The 19,488-nt window shown below is 37.6% G+C and overlaps 1 protein-coding gene across 17 annotated transcripts in view, besides 1 other annotated feature; it reads right to left on the bottom strand.

Annotated features, from left to right (window-relative positions):
- NEK7 (NIMA related kinase 7) overlaps window positions 1-19,488 on the bottom strand; it is a 165,423-nt gene that overhangs the window by 103,379 nt on the left and 42,556 nt on the right. For 2 of the 17 annotated variants that reach the window (XM_047446561.1, XM_047446564.1), the window contains exon 1: window positions 9,263-9,359. The exons of the other annotated variants lie outside the window; for them this stretch is intronic. The gene's annotated coding sequence lies outside the window, so the exon portion shown is untranslated. Of the gene's footprint in view, window positions 1-9,262; window positions 9,360-19,488 lie in introns of those variants that run through there. 17 annotated transcript variants of the gene reach the window in all.
- Window positions 16,339-16,398: an enhancer, noted in NCBI's record as "active region_2284". NCBI's record gives its function as "activates an Ori minimal core promoter by ATAC-STARR-seq in GM12878 lymphoblastoid cells {active_cell/tissue: GM12878}" and the evidence as "EXISTENCE:reporter gene assay evidence [ECO:0000049][PMID:35858748]".

Genomic DNA, 19,488 nt, shown 5'->3' with positions numbered 1-19,488 from the left:
TAGATCAAATAGTGGATTAACTTTGAGTTCTTTGAAATATTTCCATATTGTTTTCCACAGAGGTGGTGCTACTTTACATTCCCACCAGCAGTGTGTAAGTGTTCCTTTTTCACCATATCCATGCCAGAATCTATGGCTTTTTGACTTTTTAAATAAGGGCCATTCTGGCTGGGGTAAGGTGGTATCTCATTGTGGTTTTAATTTGTATTTTCCTGATGATAAGTGATGTTGAGCATTTTTTTCATATTTGTTGGCCACTTGTATATCTTCTTTTGAGAAATGTCTATTCATGCTTTTTTTTTTTGCCAATCTTTTAATTGGATTTTTTTCTTGCTGATTTATTTGTATATTCCGCATATCAGTCCTTTGTTGGGTTCATAATTTGCAAATATTTTCTCCCATTCTACAGGTTGTCTATTCTGATGATTATTTATTTTGCTGTGTAGAAGCTTTTTAATTTAATTTGGTCCCATTTATTTATTTTTGGTTTTGTTGCATTTGTTTTTGGAGTCTTTATCATAAATTCTTTACCTAGATCAATGTCCAGAAGAGTTTTTCTTAGGTTTTCTTCTAGAATTTTTATAGTTTCAGGTCTTGGATTTAAATCTTTAATCCATTTTGAGTTAACTTTTGTAATATAGTGAGAGAAAGGGATCCAGTTTCATTCTTCTACATGTGGCTATCCAATTTTCCCAGCGCCATTTATCAAATAGGGTGTCTATTTCCCAATTTATGTTTTTGTATTCTTTGTCGAAGATCAGTTAGTTTTAAGTGTCTGTCTTTATTTAGAGGTTCTCTATTCTGTTCCATTAGTCTTTGCATCTACTTTTATACCAGTACCATGCAGTTTGGATTACTACAGCCTTGTAGTATGATTTGAAGTCAGGTAATGTAATGCTTCCAGACTTATGCTTTTTGCTTAGGATTGTTTTAGCAATTTGGGCTTTTTGGTTCCATATAAATTTGAGGATTGTTTTTCCTAATTCTGTGAAAATGATATTGGTATTTTCATAGGAATTTCATAGGATTGCTTTAGGCAGTATGGTCATTTTCACAATATTGATTCTTTCAATCCCTGAGCATGGGATGTATTTCCATTTGTTTTATTTATTTCAGCAGTGTTTTGCAGTTCTCCTTGTAGAGATCTTTCACCTACTTGGTTAAGTATATTCCTAGGCTTGGGGCTTTTTTTTTTTTTTTTATAGCTATTGTAAAAACGGATTGTGTTCTTGATTTGATTATTAACCTGTTCATTGTTGGTGTATAGCAGTGTTACTGATTTCTGTACATTGATTTTGTAACCTGATACTTAATTCATTTATTAGATCTAGGAGTGTTTTGGAGGAGTCTTAAGGGTTTTCTAGGTATAAGATCATATAATCAGCATACAGAGATAGTTTGGCTTCCTCTTTTCCAATTTGGATGTCCTTTATTTCCGTCTCTTGCCTGATAGCTCGGGCTAAGTCTTCAAGTACTATGTTGAATAGAAATGGTGAAAGTAGGCATTCCTATCTTGTTCCAGTTCTTAGGGGGAATGCTTTTAACTCTGTCCCATTCAATATGATGTTGGCTGTGGGTTTGTCATATATGGTTTTTATTATTTTGAGGTATGTTTCTTTATGCCTAGTTGAGGGTTTTTATCATAAGGAGATGCTGGCTTTTATCAAATGCTTTTTCTGCATCTACTGAGATGATTATATGGTTTTGTTTTCAATTCTGTTCATGTGATCAATCACATTTATTGACTTGCACGTGTTGAACCATCCCTGCAACCCACTTGATCATGGTGAATTTTTATTTCTTTTGACGTGCTGTTGAGTTTGGTTTGCTAACACTCTGTTGAGGATTTTTGCATCTGTGTTTTACAGATACTTGTCCGCAGTTTACTTTTTCAGTTATGTCCTTTCCTGGCTTTGATATCAGGGTGACACTAGCTTCATAAAATGAGTTCAGGAGGATTCTCTCCTTCTCAATCTTTAGAAATAGTTTCAGTACACTTGTACTAATTCTTCCTTGAATGTCTGGTAGAATTTGGCTGTGAATCTATGTGGCCCTGGGCTTATTTTTCTTGGCAGTTGTTTTTGGTTTCTTAATGACTGATTCAATCTCACTGCTTGTGATTGGTCTGTTCAGAATTTCTATTTCTTCCTGATTCAATCTAGAAGGGTTGTCGTTTTCGAGGAAATTGATAATTATCAATTTCCTCTATGTTTTCTAGTTTGTGCATATAAAGGTGTTCATAGTAATGTCAAATGATCTTTTGTATTTCTGTGATATTGATTGTAATTGTCTCCAGTTTCACTTTTAATTGAGCTTATTTGGATCTTCTCTCTTCTTTTCTTGGTTAATCTAGCTAGTGGCCTATCGATTTTGTTTATCTTTTCAAATAACCAGTTTTTGTTTCACTGATCTTTTGTACTTCTGCTTGTTTGTTTGTTCTAATTTCATTTAGTTCTGCCCTGATCTTCGTTACTTCTTTTCCTCTGCTAGCTTGGGTTTGGTTTGTTCTTGTCTCTCTAAGAAGAAGGTGTGACATTGGGTTGCCAATTTGTGATCTTTCAGACTTTTTGATATAGATATTTAGCGCTATAAACTTTCCTCTTAACACTGTCTTTGCTGTATCCTAGAGATTTTGATAACTTGTGCCACTGTTATCATTCATTTTGAAAAATTTTTAAATTTCCATCTTGATCTCATGGTTAACCCAAAAATCATTCAGAAGCAGATTGTTTAATTTCCATGTATTTATACAGTTTTGATGGTTCCCTCTGGAATTGATTTCTAGTTTTATTTTGCTGTGGTCTGAGAATATAATTGATGTGATTTCTATTTTTATAAATTTATTGAGACTCATTTTGTGGCCTATCATATGGTCTATCTTGGAGAATGTGTTATACCTTGTGCTGATGAGAAAAATGTATATTCTGCAGTTTTTGGGTAGAATGTTCCGTGAATATCTATTAGGTTCATTTGTTTACGGTGCAGGTTCATTTGTTCTAGAGCGCAGTTGAAGTCCAGTGTTTCTTTGTTAAATTTCTGCTTCAGTGATCTGTCTAGCACTGTCAGTGGAGTGTTAAAGTCACAACTACTGTTGTGTTGCTATCTCTTTTCTTTAATCTAGTGGTATTGCTTTATGAATCTGGGTACTCCAGAGTTGGGCACATACATGTTTAGGATTGTTATATCTTCTTGTTGAATTGATCCCTTCTGTCATCCTATAATGATGTTTTTTTTTATTTTTTTACTGTTACTGCTTTAAAGACAGTTTTATCTGATATAAGAATAACTATTCCTGCTCGCTTTTAGTTTCCATTTGCATGAAATATCTTTTTCCACTCCTTTACCTTAAGTCCATAAGAATCCTCACGTGTTAGGTGTGTCTCCTGAAATCAATACTTATTTGGCTTTTGATATTTTATCCATTCTGCCAATCTGTATCTTTTAGTTAAGAGGTGTCCAATCTTTTGGCTTACTTAGGCCACAACAGAAGAAGAAGAATTGTCTTGGGCCACACATAAACTAATGACAGCTGATGAGCAAAATAAAAATAAATAAAATAAAAATGCAAAAATATCTTATAATGTTTTAAGAAAGTTTAAGAATTTGTGTTGGGCTGCATTCAAAGATATCCTAGGCAACATGTAGTGCATGGGATGTGGATTGGACAAGCTTGTTTTATGTGGAGCATTTAAACCATTTACATTCAATATAAATATTGAGATGTGAGGTACTGTTCCAGTCATCATGTTGTTACCTAGTGACTTTGTTCTCTTCATTTTGTTATTGTTTTATAAACCTTGTGAACTTTATGCTTTCAGGGGTTTCCATTCTCATGCATATCAACCTTTTGTTTCAAGATTTAGAATTCCTTTTAGAATTTCTTGTATGGCTGGTCTAGTATTGACAAATTCCTTCAGCATTTGTGTGTCTGAGAAAGACTTTCTCCTTCATTTATAAAAACTAGTTTTGCTCAATACAAAATTCTTGGCTGTCAGTTATTCTTTTTAAGGAGACTAAAGATAGGAACCCAATCCCTTCTGGCCTATAAGGTTTCTGCTGAGAACTCTGCTGTTCATCTAATACGGTTTCCATTGTAGGTTACCTGATGCTTTTGTCTTACCATTATTAGAATTCTTTTTTTCACATTGACTTTAGGTAGCCTAATGACTATATGCCTTGATGATATTCTTCTTGTAATAAGTCTCCCAGGAGTTCTTTGGGCTTCTTGTATTTAGATTTCTAAATATCTAATAAAGCTGGAGAAGTTTTCCTCAATTATTCCCTCAAATAGGTTTTCCAAACTTTGTTTTTTCTTCTCCTTCAGAAATAACTATAATTCTTAGGTTTGGCCAATTTATATAATCCCATACTTCTTGGAGACTTTGTTCATTCCTTTTGATTCTTTGTCCTTTATTTTTGTCTGACTGGGTTAATTTGAAAGCCTTGCTTCAAGCTCTGTAATTCTTTCCTCTACTTGATCTAGTCTATTGTTAAAACTTTCCATAGCATTTTGTAGTTCCCTAAATGTGTCTTTCTTTTCCAGAAGTTCTGATTGATTTTTCATTAAAATATCCATCTCTTTAGAACATTTTTCATCCATATCCAGAATAGTTTTTAAAACTTATGTTGGTTTGCATCTCTCTCTTGTATCTCCTTGAGTAACTTAATAATCAACTTTTTGAATTCTTTGCCTGGTATTTCGAACATCTCATTTTGATTTGGATCCACTGCTGGAAAGTTACTGTGATCTTTTAGGGGTGTTATAGAACCCTATTTTTTCATATTGCCAGAATTATTTTTCAGGTTCTTTCTCATCTGGGTAAACTATTTTTACTAATTATTTTCGTATTTATTTTTTATTCAACTGGGTTTTATTTCCCCCTTGAGGATGTGACTTTATTGTCATCTAGCTTCAGCTCTGGGGGCTTTCAGTGGCAAAGACTGTGTGAATTCCTTGGTTACAGAGAATCTTTGTGCAAGATGCTGGCTTTCTCAGATGGTGGTTGTAGTAGCAATGTGCCGGGTATATGAGCAGATTCACTGACTCCTGTGGGGCCAGAATAGCAGAGGTCTCATGAAGCCTATTTCAGTCCCCAGTGATGTGCACTTTTTAAATTTTTTTCTCCAATATTTTATACACTGGGTTGAACAGTTCAGGCTTCAGGCTAGTAGGACATGCCCATGGGTAAAACTGCCTGTAGCTAAAGCCAGTGATAAATGCAATATCCCAATGGTGGGCAGAGGTCCCACCCTTGACAGAGGTGGCTGGGGAAGTGCTCAGTGAAATCCACTGACATCTTTCAAGGGGAAAGAAGGAAGGCACCACAGCCGTCCTTCCAGGCCAGCAGGAAAGCGACCCACCTCCCAGTAACACTCCTAACCCAGTATTCTGGCTATTGAGATCAGACAGGCACCTCTTTTCATCTGCAGGAATGCTGATGTTCCATGTAGAGAGGGGTTGTGACTCTATCTCTCATACAAGCCTGAACGAGGAGAGTGCTCCTCCTCTGAGGATAGAGTAACCCTGAAGTGTTCCAGGAAGGCTGTCCACAGATGCACCTACGCTGAGCTCCTGTGGGAGAAGCCCCAGCTGTTTCTGCAGTGGTAGGCAAAGGGGAGAACAAGCCCCCTTCTCCAAGACCCTTCACAAGCACAAGGGCTTCCTGACTGTTGGGGTAGAGCTGCAGACTTTCCCCACTGAGCCCAGCACTGCATCTGTGCCTCTGCTGAAACTTTCCACTAGTGTAAAGTTCAGAGGCTCAAGGCCTGCAATCTGGTTTCTTTTGTCCCACAGGGTGCTCCCTTAATGTGGTACACTCCCCCTTCCCTTAAGATTAACAGTCCCTAAAGGCCAGACTACTGTGAATCCTTCTATGACTCTCGGTCAAGTGATGCTGTCCCACTCCAGATTGGTGCTGTGGAATATCTGCAAGGAATCCAGAGGTGTGACCTGTCCTCTAGTCTCCCAGCAGTGGGTACCACACCAGCTCTGATGGGGGTGGGCGGGAAGATGTAGATACTGAGATTTCCTTGGTTAGAAAGAGCCTTAGTGTGTTGGCTTTGTCAAATACCAGCTGTAACAGTAAGGTATTGGGCAAGTGAAGAGACTCAAGATCTCCTGGTTAGCCAGAATGACTCAGGCAATGATGATAGCTGAGGTCATGCAAATGTTTTCTTCTTCCTAAGTGCTGTGCTTTTTGTGCTTGCAGATGTTGAAATGGACTGTGCTGGTTGGCCTCCAGCCGGGAGGTGGCACTTGCAAAAGAGGATCAGCCGTAGTGGTGACAGCAGATTTTCTGCTTGCCTTATGTTGGGGTGGTACTCTGGTATTTCAGGCAATGGGCTGGGCCATGGAGCTCCCAAATGTCCCTGTCCATTGTGTTACCCTACAAGGGCAGATAGAGGAGCAAAACCAGGTGTGGGCTGGGTCAGGCAAGTCCATGCTCTGGCTCCCCACGTGCAGGCACAAGCAGTGGCCCCAGTGGGGATCAGAGGGCAGTTCCCTGGCTGCTGGCGGGGTAATGTTTAAGGCAGGAGTGCAGCTGCCTCTACTGCACAAAAGAATCCCCATTGGGAGTGGGGATTAGCAGGCGGCAGTTAAGTCCCACTCTGCTCCCAGGTACGTGGCAAGGCAGGTCTCACACCCGCAGTGTTTTGCTAACAGCGGCTAGCTGAATTCCAGGCAGCCTGTGCTCAGAACACAAAACTGCCCCCAGGCCATATGCCCTTTGGCTTTCAGGCGATGACTCTCCTGGTCCAACACCTGTGACACAGGGGCATCCAGCTCCTGCACCTGTGGCTACAGCACACCTTTCGTTTGCTCATCGGTTACAGCCAATGAGGTTCATCCCTACACAAATCTCAGTTGGGAGCTTCTCTCAACCTGTGACCGGAGCCTGAGTTAGCTGGCTGACTTCCGTGAGGTCCCCTGTGAGACAGGATCAGGAATGGCTTCGCTCCCATCCCACTGGAGTCTGGGAATGCACGCAAGACACATCCGAATGCCTTTCCTTCTCATAGACTTCCCATTGCTCAGTTCATCAGCTCCAGGACTGGGTAGGGTTAAGGCCTTCCCCTATGGCCTGGATTGTCCCGCTCCCCTGCGGGAGTGTGTGTCACCGTCTGAAGACAGTTTTCCATTCAGTTCATGGTGCTACTGTCCACTGCGTCTTTCAAAAGGTCTGTGGTTTCTTTCAGTTTTCCTGTTAAGTTCCGGTGTTGCTTCTTGGAAAAAAGTTCACAGCATGAACCTTTACACACAGTTTTGTCTTTCGAAGTGGAAAAGGCATGCTAACGATGCCTCCAGTCCGCCATCTTGCCAAAAAAAAACTGCATTTTTTTTCCATTAGAACTATATTATTAACACCAGAAAATAGAACATTTTTCAAATTCTTCAATCACTGTTCTAATTCAATAACCTATTATTTTTTATACTTTCTTCAATCTTATGCTAAAATTGTCTCCTAAAAATATTATTTATGCTACTTTGGATACTATAAATCCCTAAAAATATTAAAACACCTCAAAATAATGAAAAGTAAGCACATGTGTACACACACATCACAAATCAGAATGACCCATTAGGAATGGCCTGAGATCTCACAAAGATTTAAAACTATGTAATCTGTGAGTGTAATCAATGGAAAAGAGAATTGTGTATAGGGTTTTCATATTTCATTCTTTTGTAACAATGATAACTGTAGTATTCTTCATCTGATACATAATTTCCTATAATAATAAGGTTCTGGAATCTGTTTCCTGACACTCATTGCTAAAAGCTTTTTTAAAGTATTCTCAACAAAGAAATAAGTTAAAAATGATAATCCAAATATAAAATAATAAAACCACAGAACTGGAAAAGAATTAGAAGACCTAATCCTACTTTAATGTTAACCCCATAGTTCTCTTCATAAAGCAGAGTAATTTTGTCTTAACTTTATTAACAACCTAATAGACACAAAGAAATACATATTGGAAATAACCATAAAGCATGTTGAATATCACTAATAAAGAAATACAAATTGCACTTTGGGAGGCCGAGGCGGGCGGATCACGAGGTCAGGAGATCGAGACCATCCCGGCTAAAACGGTGAAACCCCGTCTCTACTAAAAATACAAAAAATTAGCCGGGCGTAGTGGCGGGCGCCTGTAGTCCCAGCTACTTGGGAGGCTGAGGCAGGAGAATGGCGTGAACCCGGGAGGCGGAGCTTGCAGTGAGCCAAGATTGCGCCACTGCACTCCAGCCTGGGCGACAGAGCGAGACTCCGTCTCAAAAAAAAAAAAAAAAAAAAAAAAAAAAAGAAATACAAATTGAAGGGACAATGACATATAATACAGTTGATAGCCTATCAAAATAATAAATATTATACAAAGTATATATAATGTTTACATAGGTATATAACCTTTCTAGAAAAAATGATATCAAGATTTTTTCATATACTTTTACTCAGTACTCTTACTCCCAAAATTCTCTTCTAAAAAAATTAATCAGTGACTAAATTTGGGATTACATATAAGAAGGTACATATTAAAAAAGCATTTATCATTTTTAAAAATTGGAAACAAAGTATAAGTCTAACAATATGAGAATGGCCAAATAAATTACAGCAAATACATAAAATAGAACACTAGATTGAAAATATTTATTAAAATTTTTAGGACAGGTTCAGTGACTTACTCCTGCAATCTCAGCACTTCAGGAGCCCAAGGGAGGAAAACTTGGGGGGCCAGGAGTTCAAGACCTGCCTAAGCAACATAGCAAGACCCCATCACACACACAAAACAGCTGGGCATGGTGGCATGTGCCTATAATCCTAGCTACTCAGGAGGTGAGGCAGGAGGATCACTTGAACCCAGGAGTTTAAAGTTACGGTAAGCTATGATAACACCACTGCACTCCAGCCTAAGTGACAAAGTAGGACCCTGTCCCTAAAAAAATAAAAATAGGCCAGACGCAGTGTTCACACCTGTAATCCTAGCACCTTGGGAGGCCCAGGCAGGCGGACTGCCTAAGCTCAGAAGTTTAAGACCAGCCTGGGCAACATGGTGAAACCCCGTCTCTACTAAAGTACAAAAAATAGCCAGGAAGTCCCAGCTATTAGGGAGGCTGATGCATGAGAATTGCTTGAACCCAGGAGGCAGAAGTTGCAGTAAGTCGAGATCACGCCCCTGCACTCCAACCTGGGTGACAGAGAGAGACTCCATCTCCAGATAAATAAATAAAAATATAAATAAATATTAGACCCAGCATGGTAGCTCATACCTGTAATCCCAGGCACTTTGGAAGGCCAAGGCAGGAGGATCGCTTGAGCCTAGGAATTCAGGACCAGCCTGGGCAACATAGCGAGACTCCATCTTTGCTATTAAAAAAAAGAGAGAGAGAGAGAAAGTAAAAGAAAGAAAAATTAAATGTTTTAGTGATATTTTAAAATGTATGAAATATAATGTGAAATGAAAAACTAAGACTCAAAAACAAATTTCCATGTTATACGTACTCAAAGGATATTATTCTTATCATTATCAAAATTACATTTAGTTAATTGCATAGTTATTTGTTGAAGCTATCTACCTTGCCAAAATATAAGCCAAATAAGGTTAGGAAATCCTTTTATGTATCACTTTATCCCTACAGTGCTTGGAACAGGGATAAACATATAGTAAATAAATATTTGCTGAATTATTCTACTAAGAATCTGTAATCTACTAAATAAAAAACATCACTTTGCATAATAAAATGTACAAATTGTCTTAACACTGTTTTTAAGAAAAGCACATTTGCATGTGTGTATGGGTATGAAAAAGAGTATAGGCAGTCTTTGCTTTCATAGTGGCAAAATAGTTCAGACAAGCGCTCCTTCTGAGGAGAGTTTTACCAAAAAAAAAAAAAAAGTATATATATACACATACATATGTGTATATATGTGTATATTACATGTGTGTGTACATATGTGTGTATATATACATATGTGCGTATGTGTGTGTGTATATATATATATATATATATACACACACACATATATGCTTTAATGCATCAGAGAGCTAATGAAATAGAGACATATTAGCGGTCCAGAGTATCTGAGGGCTGAAGGAAGCCAAGAAAAGCGAACCCAACATCTAAGCATGTTTTTTCCACTGACTGTTATGCAAACTGTGGAAATGCAGTTGAGATGCTAAGAGGCTATATGGCGTTTCTTACAGTCTCTTGGAAACACAGAAACAGAAATTGTAGTCTAGAGTTCAAAAAGGGACTACAATGAACATCCCCATGATTTGGCTAAGGACTTCAAAAGCCTTAAACATCATAAACAAGCCTTCTCACGGCATCAAATTATCTCAAATACTAAAATTATCTTAATTGACAAAAGCTGAATATATTTATCATACAAACATATTCTGAAATATGCACACATTGTACAATAGCTCAATCAAGCTAATTAATAAATGCATTACCAACCTGGGCGACATAGGGAGACACGGTCTCTACAAAAAATAAAAATAATAAACTGGGCGTGGTGGCAGGTGCCTGTGGTCCCAGCTCCTCAGGAGGCTGAGGTGGGAGTACTGCATGAGCTTGGGAGGTCAAGGTTGCAGCACCAGTCGTACCACTGCATTTCAGATTGGGTGACAGGGCAAGACCCTGTCCCAAAATAAACAAACAAAACACATTATACTTCATACATTTATTCAAACCCTAAAATTAAAGTGATTTCTGATAGCTACTGCCCCCAGCTACCTAGACAAAAAGTAAAAATTATCTGAAGGAAGATAACATCTTACGCTCCAGATTATTTGTACAAACAATTTTGCACATACTATATCCAATACATCATGAAAAACAGCCAGGCACTCAAGCAAGTAAGACTACATGAACACAAAATAGCAAAGAGAATAGGCAGAATCAAAATGACCTCAGATAGAAGGCTAAAGATATAGGAAGAAATGTTAAATGAAGAGCATGGCAACAGGGCAAATTTAATTAAACATCTACATGAAACCACAGATAAAAGTGATTGCCATGTTAGAAATGTATCTAAAATTGAAATACATGACAACCAACACATAAATAGAGAGATAAATGAAGTTGAAGTGTTCTAAGGGTTCTATTAGGATGTCTGGGAAAAGAAAAACTATATTAACATTATCTTTATTTCATTTTTATTTTTCAGTCTATGTCCCTTTTTAACATTTATTTTTAGAACTTTTTAAATTAAGGTATAACTTATATACAATTAAATTGCCATTTTAATGTACAATTTCTAGAAGTTTGACAAACTCAGTAATGAAATCAACCACTAGAATCAAAATATAGAACAGTTCCATCAGCCCATACAAGTCCCCTGTGTCCTTTCAGTGTCAAACCCTCCTCCAATCCTTGACAAATACTAATCTGTATTCTGTCCCTATAGTTTTATCTTTTCTAGGATATCATATAAATGAAGCCTTTTGAATATGACTTCTTTCACTTAGCATGGTGCATTTCAGATTCATCAAGGTTACACAGTTTGTTCATTTTTATGGCTGAGTACTACTCCATTGAATGGACGTATCTCAATATTCATTCTCCAACTGAGGGGGGTCTGCATTGTTTCCAGTTCAGGACAATTATGAATAAAGCCATTATAAATATTTGCGTACCAGTCCATACATAAGTTTTCAATACACTCTACGCTCTGGTAAATACCTAGGAATCAAATTTCTGGGTAGTATTACATTTAATAAGTTAAGGATAAATGTAAAATAGCAGGTCTTTATTTGGCATAACAAGAAATAAAACATAGAGAATGAAAGTATTTCAGACTGGCCTGAGTTATCACATACCTTCTTTGTGGTCTCGGCGATGTTCCTGTCACTCATTATTTTATTGCTTACTACTCTAATAAGATTATCAAAAATACTGGATATCATATTTGCCTACTGAATTTGTATTTTCGTCAATTCATCAAGTGATAAAGAAGAAACAAGTAATAGGATTTTAATAAAAATTGTGACAAATTGAGAAATGTAATGAACCTTTCAATTCTTTGGAAAAGCAGACATTACCTTCCCCTGACTATTCACTGAATTAGAATGGACTTAAAATGAAATCTTAAATTGTATGCTGAAAGCATATAAATGCCATATTTTCATCAGAAAATTAAGCCCACTATGAGGACAGTTGTTTATGAATTCCTACTCTTATTTCTATAAAATGCCTATGGTTATTAACTAATCAATAGGAATGGAATACTGAAAAATGCATAACATATAACCATAGAAATATTAAAACTGTTAAACATAAGCTTTTGGATATAGGATAATTTATGTAAAAAAATTTTTCAAGGCACTGAAATGAGAAAAAGTTCACAGCACTTGTCTTTTTTTTTAAATCTTTTTGGAGCTGTTGCCGTATTTCAGACATATTCTCTAAAATATCTGATCATTTCCCAATAGGGCAATACACTGACAAAGAAAGATTCTACTTTAGAATGCAGGCATGTGTCACTAAAATATCATTTTAAAGTTGTTTTACACTGCAGCATCACTAAAAAGTAATAAAGGTTGAGATAATCAGGATTAATATTTTTTATTTTGGTTCTTGCTGACACCTGCTGGTTCAATTTTATCTTCTTCCTTACTACATATTGATACGTTAACAGTTCTAAATACAAAGGCTTCTAGCACATAAAACAGAATCTTTAATCAAGGGACCACTGACCCAAAAACGAAATGAGCACATATCAGCCAATCACTTCCCATATTCACTGATTTTTATTGAAATCAGTGTTGTGGTTATTACTGTAACTCACTCCCTAATGAATGTACTTAATTCAAAGTCTGTTACCTAATATTTTGATTCTGCCTTATGACTTAATTCTGACATTTAATTCTGAAACTAAAGTTACAGTTTTTTTTTAACTTAAACTGCAAAAACCAGTAGGCCATATTAATAGAACTCAAAAACACAAAAACATGATGTCTTCAAAAATATTACACAAGGTACTACTTTTGTTTGTTTAAGCAAACCCCAAATCCCATACTGATGAAATTAAGACAATAAATAATATATCATCCTTACTAAATCCTTAAAATTTTGCTTTCTTCTTTCCCTCCTCTTTCCCCCAAACCCACTGTAACACAATGGAAGAGAAGTGGTACTTTCCTCTTTCTAAAAACTTGTTTCATATTCCTAACATTAAAAAAATTTTTTTAAACTGACTTTAAAGGGAAAAAAAGCTACAGTAAGCTGCCTTTTTACTTATCTTTTTATTCGCTCTTACTCTGTAGTTTTGTGAACCTAATAAGAAATAGACTCCACGTACCATTATTAAATAGGCAAAAGGATTAACTCAAATCTGAGACTGTACCTTAGGATGTGTATGAGAAAGCAAAAAAAAAAAATGTGAGTGCAGTGTATGTCATGAGTAAATACTTTTCATTTATTAATTACACATTAAATCTGTTTCTCCCAGAGCAAATACAGTTATATAAACCTAATTATTTTGGGCCAAGTAATCCTGAGTGCATACTATGAACAAGTAGTTCACACCCCTGCTTGGCTATCAGAATCACCCATGGAGCTTTTTTTGTTTTAAATATAACTGCTTGGGCCACTCAACACCTCCACCCCTGATTATGATTAGGTAAGTCTGAAGTAGGACCTACATTTCTGTATTTCGAAATAAATAAAACGGTACAGAGATGATTATCATGCACAGTTAGGTTTGAGACTGGCACAGTATTTTCATTTAATAGGAGTGGAGGTTCACTCTATTTTCAGTTTAGTTCTTTGCATCCAGATGTATCATTGAAAGTGATGCGCACTTGGCAATGCCTGCCAAAACTGCCGCTGTTTTTGGCCCCACTAATAAAGCTGTTTTAGACTCAGGCAAAGAACATGAAAGAAGCAGCTCATGCTCAGTGCCTTTCTGAGTATAAATTGGATCCAAACAAAAATAAGCAATGGGGTTTTTATTCACAGACACTGAATGATTACTTAGTGGAAGTAGGAGAAGAAGGAAGGGGGGACGGGGAGCAGCAACAGTAGCAGGGGCCTGGACTATTCCTGGGGCATTTTAGTTGTTGTTAATATTGTTGTTATTATATGTTACATTTTAAAAGAAGAAGGAAAATTGGGAGGGAGCACAAACATCCCTCCCAGGCACACGCGGATGTCTCTTGAATATCTCCCCATTCCTTTTTTTTAAAAAACAGATCTCAAGTCACACATTAGTTACAAATCTATATAAAATGTGTTTTATTCCTCAAATTGCAATGTTTGGAATAGTTATTTCAGCCAATATCTGTAAATGAAATACCTGAGTTTCTTTTTTTTTTTTTTTTTTTTTGAGACGGAGTCTCGCTGTCGCCCAGGCTGGAGTGCAGTTGCGCGATCTCTGGCTCACTGCAGGCTCCGCCCCCTGGGTTCATGCCATTCTCCTGCCTCAGCCTCCCGAGTAGCTGGGACTACAGGCGCCCACCACCTTGCCCGGCTAATTTTTTGTATTTTTAGTAGAGACAGGGTTTCACCGTGTTAGCCAGGATGGTCTCCATCTCCCGACCTCGTGATCCGCCTGCCTCGGCCTCCCAAAGTGCTGGGATTACAGGCGTGAGCCACCGCGCCGGGCCCTGAGTTTCATTTTTAAAATAACAAATACAGATCTAACCCATTAAACTTTAAAAACAAAAAGAAATCAAGCATCTCAATATATGCCATTTTAGGTACTGTAACAACATTACAGCACAGCAAAAAATAAGTGTTATGACTTGCTCTCATATTTATTTTTTATTTTTGTATTATTCTTTTGTATCAGACTCTTACTCTGTCACACGGGCTGGAGTGCAGTGGTGCAATCACGGCTCACTGCAGCCTCTAACTCCTGGGCTCCAGAGATCCTCCCGCTCCAGCCTCCCGGGTAGCTGGGCTCACAGGCACGTGCCAACATGCCCAGCTAATTTTTAAGAAATTTTTTTGTAGAGACAGGATCTCGCTATGCTGCCCAGGCCAGTCTCAAATCCTGGCCTCAAGTCATCCTTCCACATCAGGCTCCCAAAGTGCTGGGATATGGGCATGAGCCCCTGCAACTGGCCGCTCTCATCTCTAAAGTTTTCCATTGTATCCTCAAAATACAAAGACTACTACTTTCCCAAAAAGGATCTATGAAAAAATATTTTACAAAAGAAAACAGGAAGGAAGGAAGGAAGGAAGGACACACACACACAAAAAAAAAATGAATTCAACCTCTGTCACTTTCTAGGCCACAGGTCAAACCAATGGGTCTTTTTCTGAGCTCTCTTTATTAGCAGCCCCTGCTTTAGATGTGGGGGGTGAGGTTCATTCTTTTGTTAGTTTTATTATTTCTGTCATGACTGCTCCTGTTTTTACTGACTAGGAAGTGTTTTCAAACACATGATGTTACTTCTCACAGTCCTCACTGGATGAAAAGGGGCTTTATTCTCCAAAATTCAGTAAGATTGTCTGAGTCACAACAGAATCAGCTTCCCTTCTCTGGAATAGATACCAATGTCCGCACAGACAGAAATCTCTACTTCTCCTAGACATTAAAGTAACAGAGTTCTTGTGTGTTTGTCTTAATGTATTGCTTCTCAAACCTTTCCATGAGCAATGAAGATAAAGTCTATTCCTGTACCTGGGGGTGCAACCAGAAGCAAGTCCATGTAAGTAAGAAATTCATTCAAAATCTACTTTTTCTTTTAAAGATGAGTTGTTTTTATGTTCCTCTTCATTATACAAAAGATTTTTCTTTAAAAAAATCTTCAGTGGAACTGATGATCCAGGAAGACAGTTTCAAGCACCAGGCTTGAGAAATGCAGCCCTAAGCCAATATTAACTGTAACTAATGTGACACTCCATCTAAAGGCTTGTGACATATCATCTATTTCACCCCCTTCAGTTTTATATAAATACATCCCAATCACAAAGATTAACAGACTTTAGAAATTACTGGCAGCGGGGAAGGATGGTTATAAATGCCATGTGAGAACTCATGAAAACGTCATAGTATTTTATTTTACTCCAAAAGCATTTGTAATTCAAATATGTCAATTCTAGCCTGAAAAAAAAGAAGTGGTAGAAAGGTGTTTTCCCAATGTATTATTGTTTCCATTTTTTTCTCCAGCCTTCCCATCCCTGACCCTAGAGTCATTTGGGATAAGGGAGAGTTATTTGGTTTGGCTGTGTCCCCACCCAAATCTCATCCTGAATTATAGCTCCCATAATTCCCATGTGGTGTGCGAGGGACCCAGTGGGAAATAACTGAATCATGGGGGCAGATTCCCCCATGTTGCTCTCATGGTAGTGAATAAGTCTCACAAAATCTGATGGTCTTATAAAGGGTTTCCCTTTTCGCTTGGCTCTCATTCTCTCATCTGCTGCCATGTAAAACATGTCTTTCACTTTCCACCATGAATTGTGAGGCCTCCCTAGCCACGTGAAACTATGATTCCATTAGACTTCTTTTTCAGAACAGACTAATACAGAGAGATTCTGAGAAAAGCAGCACCAGCGTAGCCACTGTGATTTCTGGTAACACTCACCAGTGAACTGGAAGGGAGAACACGGACGTGGAACACCACCTGCCTGAGAGGCTGTGCATACAGCATTAGAGGTGCTACAATCATTTGCTTCCATCCAAAAATAACACCTTTAACAGTAATGAGTTTCCACACAGGATTTTGGGCAAGTTACTCAATGATTGACAGGGGATTGCTAAAGTGAGGAAAGCGCCAAACCAGCCCTCTCCAATCCTCCTTGTGAAGAAAGGCTGGGTCACATTTTTTTTTTTTAATATTCCTGACGACACCTACAACGGCACTGAAACATTAATATGATGATTGATGCCTGTGAACATTTAAATCCTAAGCCAGTGTAACTAATGTGGATCTCTAGTGCTGCTGAGGCTACGTCTGAGTTATTTCTGGTTTGGAAATAGACGTGGCTGAAGTACCTCTGACTTTTTAGGTAAAGCCAAAAAGAGTCAGCAGACTAGATGCCCTGAGATGAATTGATTGTAATAAACTGTCCTAAGATATGAAACTTTAGCTTGGTGCTAAATCCAAACTACAGTGCTCTTTGTGATTGCCACACAGTTTATTAAAAGCCATTGCTGAACAAAGGGTTCCCCAATTCTCAAACCAATCTCGATATATGCTATATTTTTAAATAAAGCTTGACTGTGACCTTCAAGTGTTTCTTGTTTATGGTCACTATGTCGGAAGACATGCCTCCTCCTCTATACTTACAAATCTCTGGTGCAAAAACTCCAAGTGTGTCTTGGTGTCACCTGGATTTTCCTAAAAGACTATCAACAGGGTGAGGCTCCGGAAAGAGAAGAAAATGGGAGCAGAAGAGCATAAAAATTATATAAGGACAAAAGAAAAGGAGAGAGAAGATATATTCCTTCAGCTACAGCCAATTCCTTAGAATATTAATGATGGATTCTATAAAAAGAACTGAATCACTTTAGTTTGCTAACTAAAGCAGGAATTAGCAACCTTTTGGTAAAGGGTCAGACAGTAAGTATTTTAAGCTTCACAGGCATCAAATGCTCTCTGTTCCAACTGTTCAACTCTAATGGCAAAGCAGCCATAAAAATATATAAAGGGACATACGTGACTATGTGCCAATAATACTTTATTTACAAAAACAGGCACAGTACATAACATTTTATATGTTAAAAAAAACCACTATATACTCCTGGCTTTTCAAATGAAACTAATAAAACAATTCTAAGAGACAGCATAGAATACAGACCCATTCAGTGTATCCTAAAATAAAACTGAAATACTTTGCGGCCAACCACTGTATAAATTTAGGTATGACCTATGGAGTAAATTCTGGTGGGACTCATTAATTTATGCTTCTGTTATCCCCTCGTCAACACAACACACAAAAACAGCACCCTCTTCCACTTAAAAAAACAAAAGTAGAAATTAAGCAATTATATACAATGAAAATATACTCCACACATTATGTACCACAAAAATCACTCTCTACCTAAAATCCTATAAATCTCAACAAGCCAACATGAATAAACACATAATCTCCACAGAGAGGGCACCCATTAAGTCTGTAATCTCCCAAATAATCCAAGAAACCAAAGCAAAAGCATTGCTAACAGGATAAAAAGCAAAGCCAAGATTTCTGGCAGACTCAGTGCTAGGGAGACAAAACTGGAGTATAGAAAGCACCAAAGGGCCTGGCACAGTGGCTCATGCCTGTAATCCCAACACTTTGGGAGGCCGAGGCAGGCAGATCATCTGGGGTCAGGAGTTTGAGACCAGCCTGGCCAATATGGTGAAACCCCATCTCTACTAAAAATACAAAAATTAGCCAGGTTTGGTAGCACATGCCTGTAGTCCCAGCTACTCAGGAGGCTAAGGCAGGAGAATCACTTGAAGCCAGGTGGCAGAGGTTGCAGTTAGCCAAGATCATGCCACTGCACTCCAGCCTGGGCAACAGAGCAAGACCCCATCTCCAAAAAAAAAAAAAAAGAAAGAAAGAAAAGAAAGCAACAAAGAGCAGAGGTCTGTGTAAACACCCTCATCATTCAGTCAAGACCTCTGAAGACAGATCAGCCTGCACTTAAAGCAGATATGCTCATAATAAAAAATATTGAATCATCTCTGGAGATGGTGGTACCATTTAAAGCCTCAACAAGTTTTCGTATACATATCTGGTATACAATTAGAAAAAAAAGCAAGCTGGCCAAGAAATTGGATACAGAAACCAAAATAAGGAGGAGGACAACAGAAATAGGCCCATATATGAACCAGATTTTAGAATAATCAGAAACTAAAATAATTATGATTAATATGCTCTATAAATTAGACTAAAATAGAGAATTTCTCAGAAATCTGAAATCTATAAAAGAAAAAAATGCACTGTCCACAAAACAATAGAAGTCCTAATTAAATATTGGTTTTAATAGGTCAAAGATGCATTGAAATCTCTAGAGTGTTCACCAATAGAATGAATGAATGCACAAAGAGCAGGGTAATGGGGCAAGAAGTAGCAAAAAATTTAAGTAATCTTAAAGGAGAGCAAGAAAGGAGGCAAAATAGGACAAAGAGCAGTTGGAACAATAGAAAACAAATAAGATGACAGATTTAAATCTAAATATATTAGTATGACACTGAATGAACAAAAAGCTCGAATTGAAAAACAAAAATTATCCAACTAACTTTTTTTTTAATTCTAAGTTGCTTGTAAGACATGTCTTACATATCAGAACATAAAAACATTTTTTGAAAGATGAAAAAGAAACACTATGTGGACACTGGCCAAAAGAAGTCTGGTGTAACTTTATTTATATTAGACAAAGTAGCTTTTAAGACCAAAAGAATTAGAAATAAAGAGGAATATTTCATAAAAATAATAGATACACGTCAGCAAGACGTAACAATCCCACATTTGAATAACATAGCCAGAATATATAAAGCAAAAACGAATAGTACTAAAAGGGGATAAAAACAATTCCAGCAGCAAACAGA

This window comes from Homo sapiens, chromosome 1 (assembly GCF_000001405.40).
Source record: "Homo sapiens chromosome 1, GRCh38.p14 Primary Assembly".
Taxonomy (NCBI): domain Eukaryota; kingdom Metazoa; phylum Chordata; class Mammalia; order Primates; family Hominidae; genus Homo; species Homo sapiens.
This window is presented reverse-complemented; position numbering and strand designations above follow the sequence as displayed.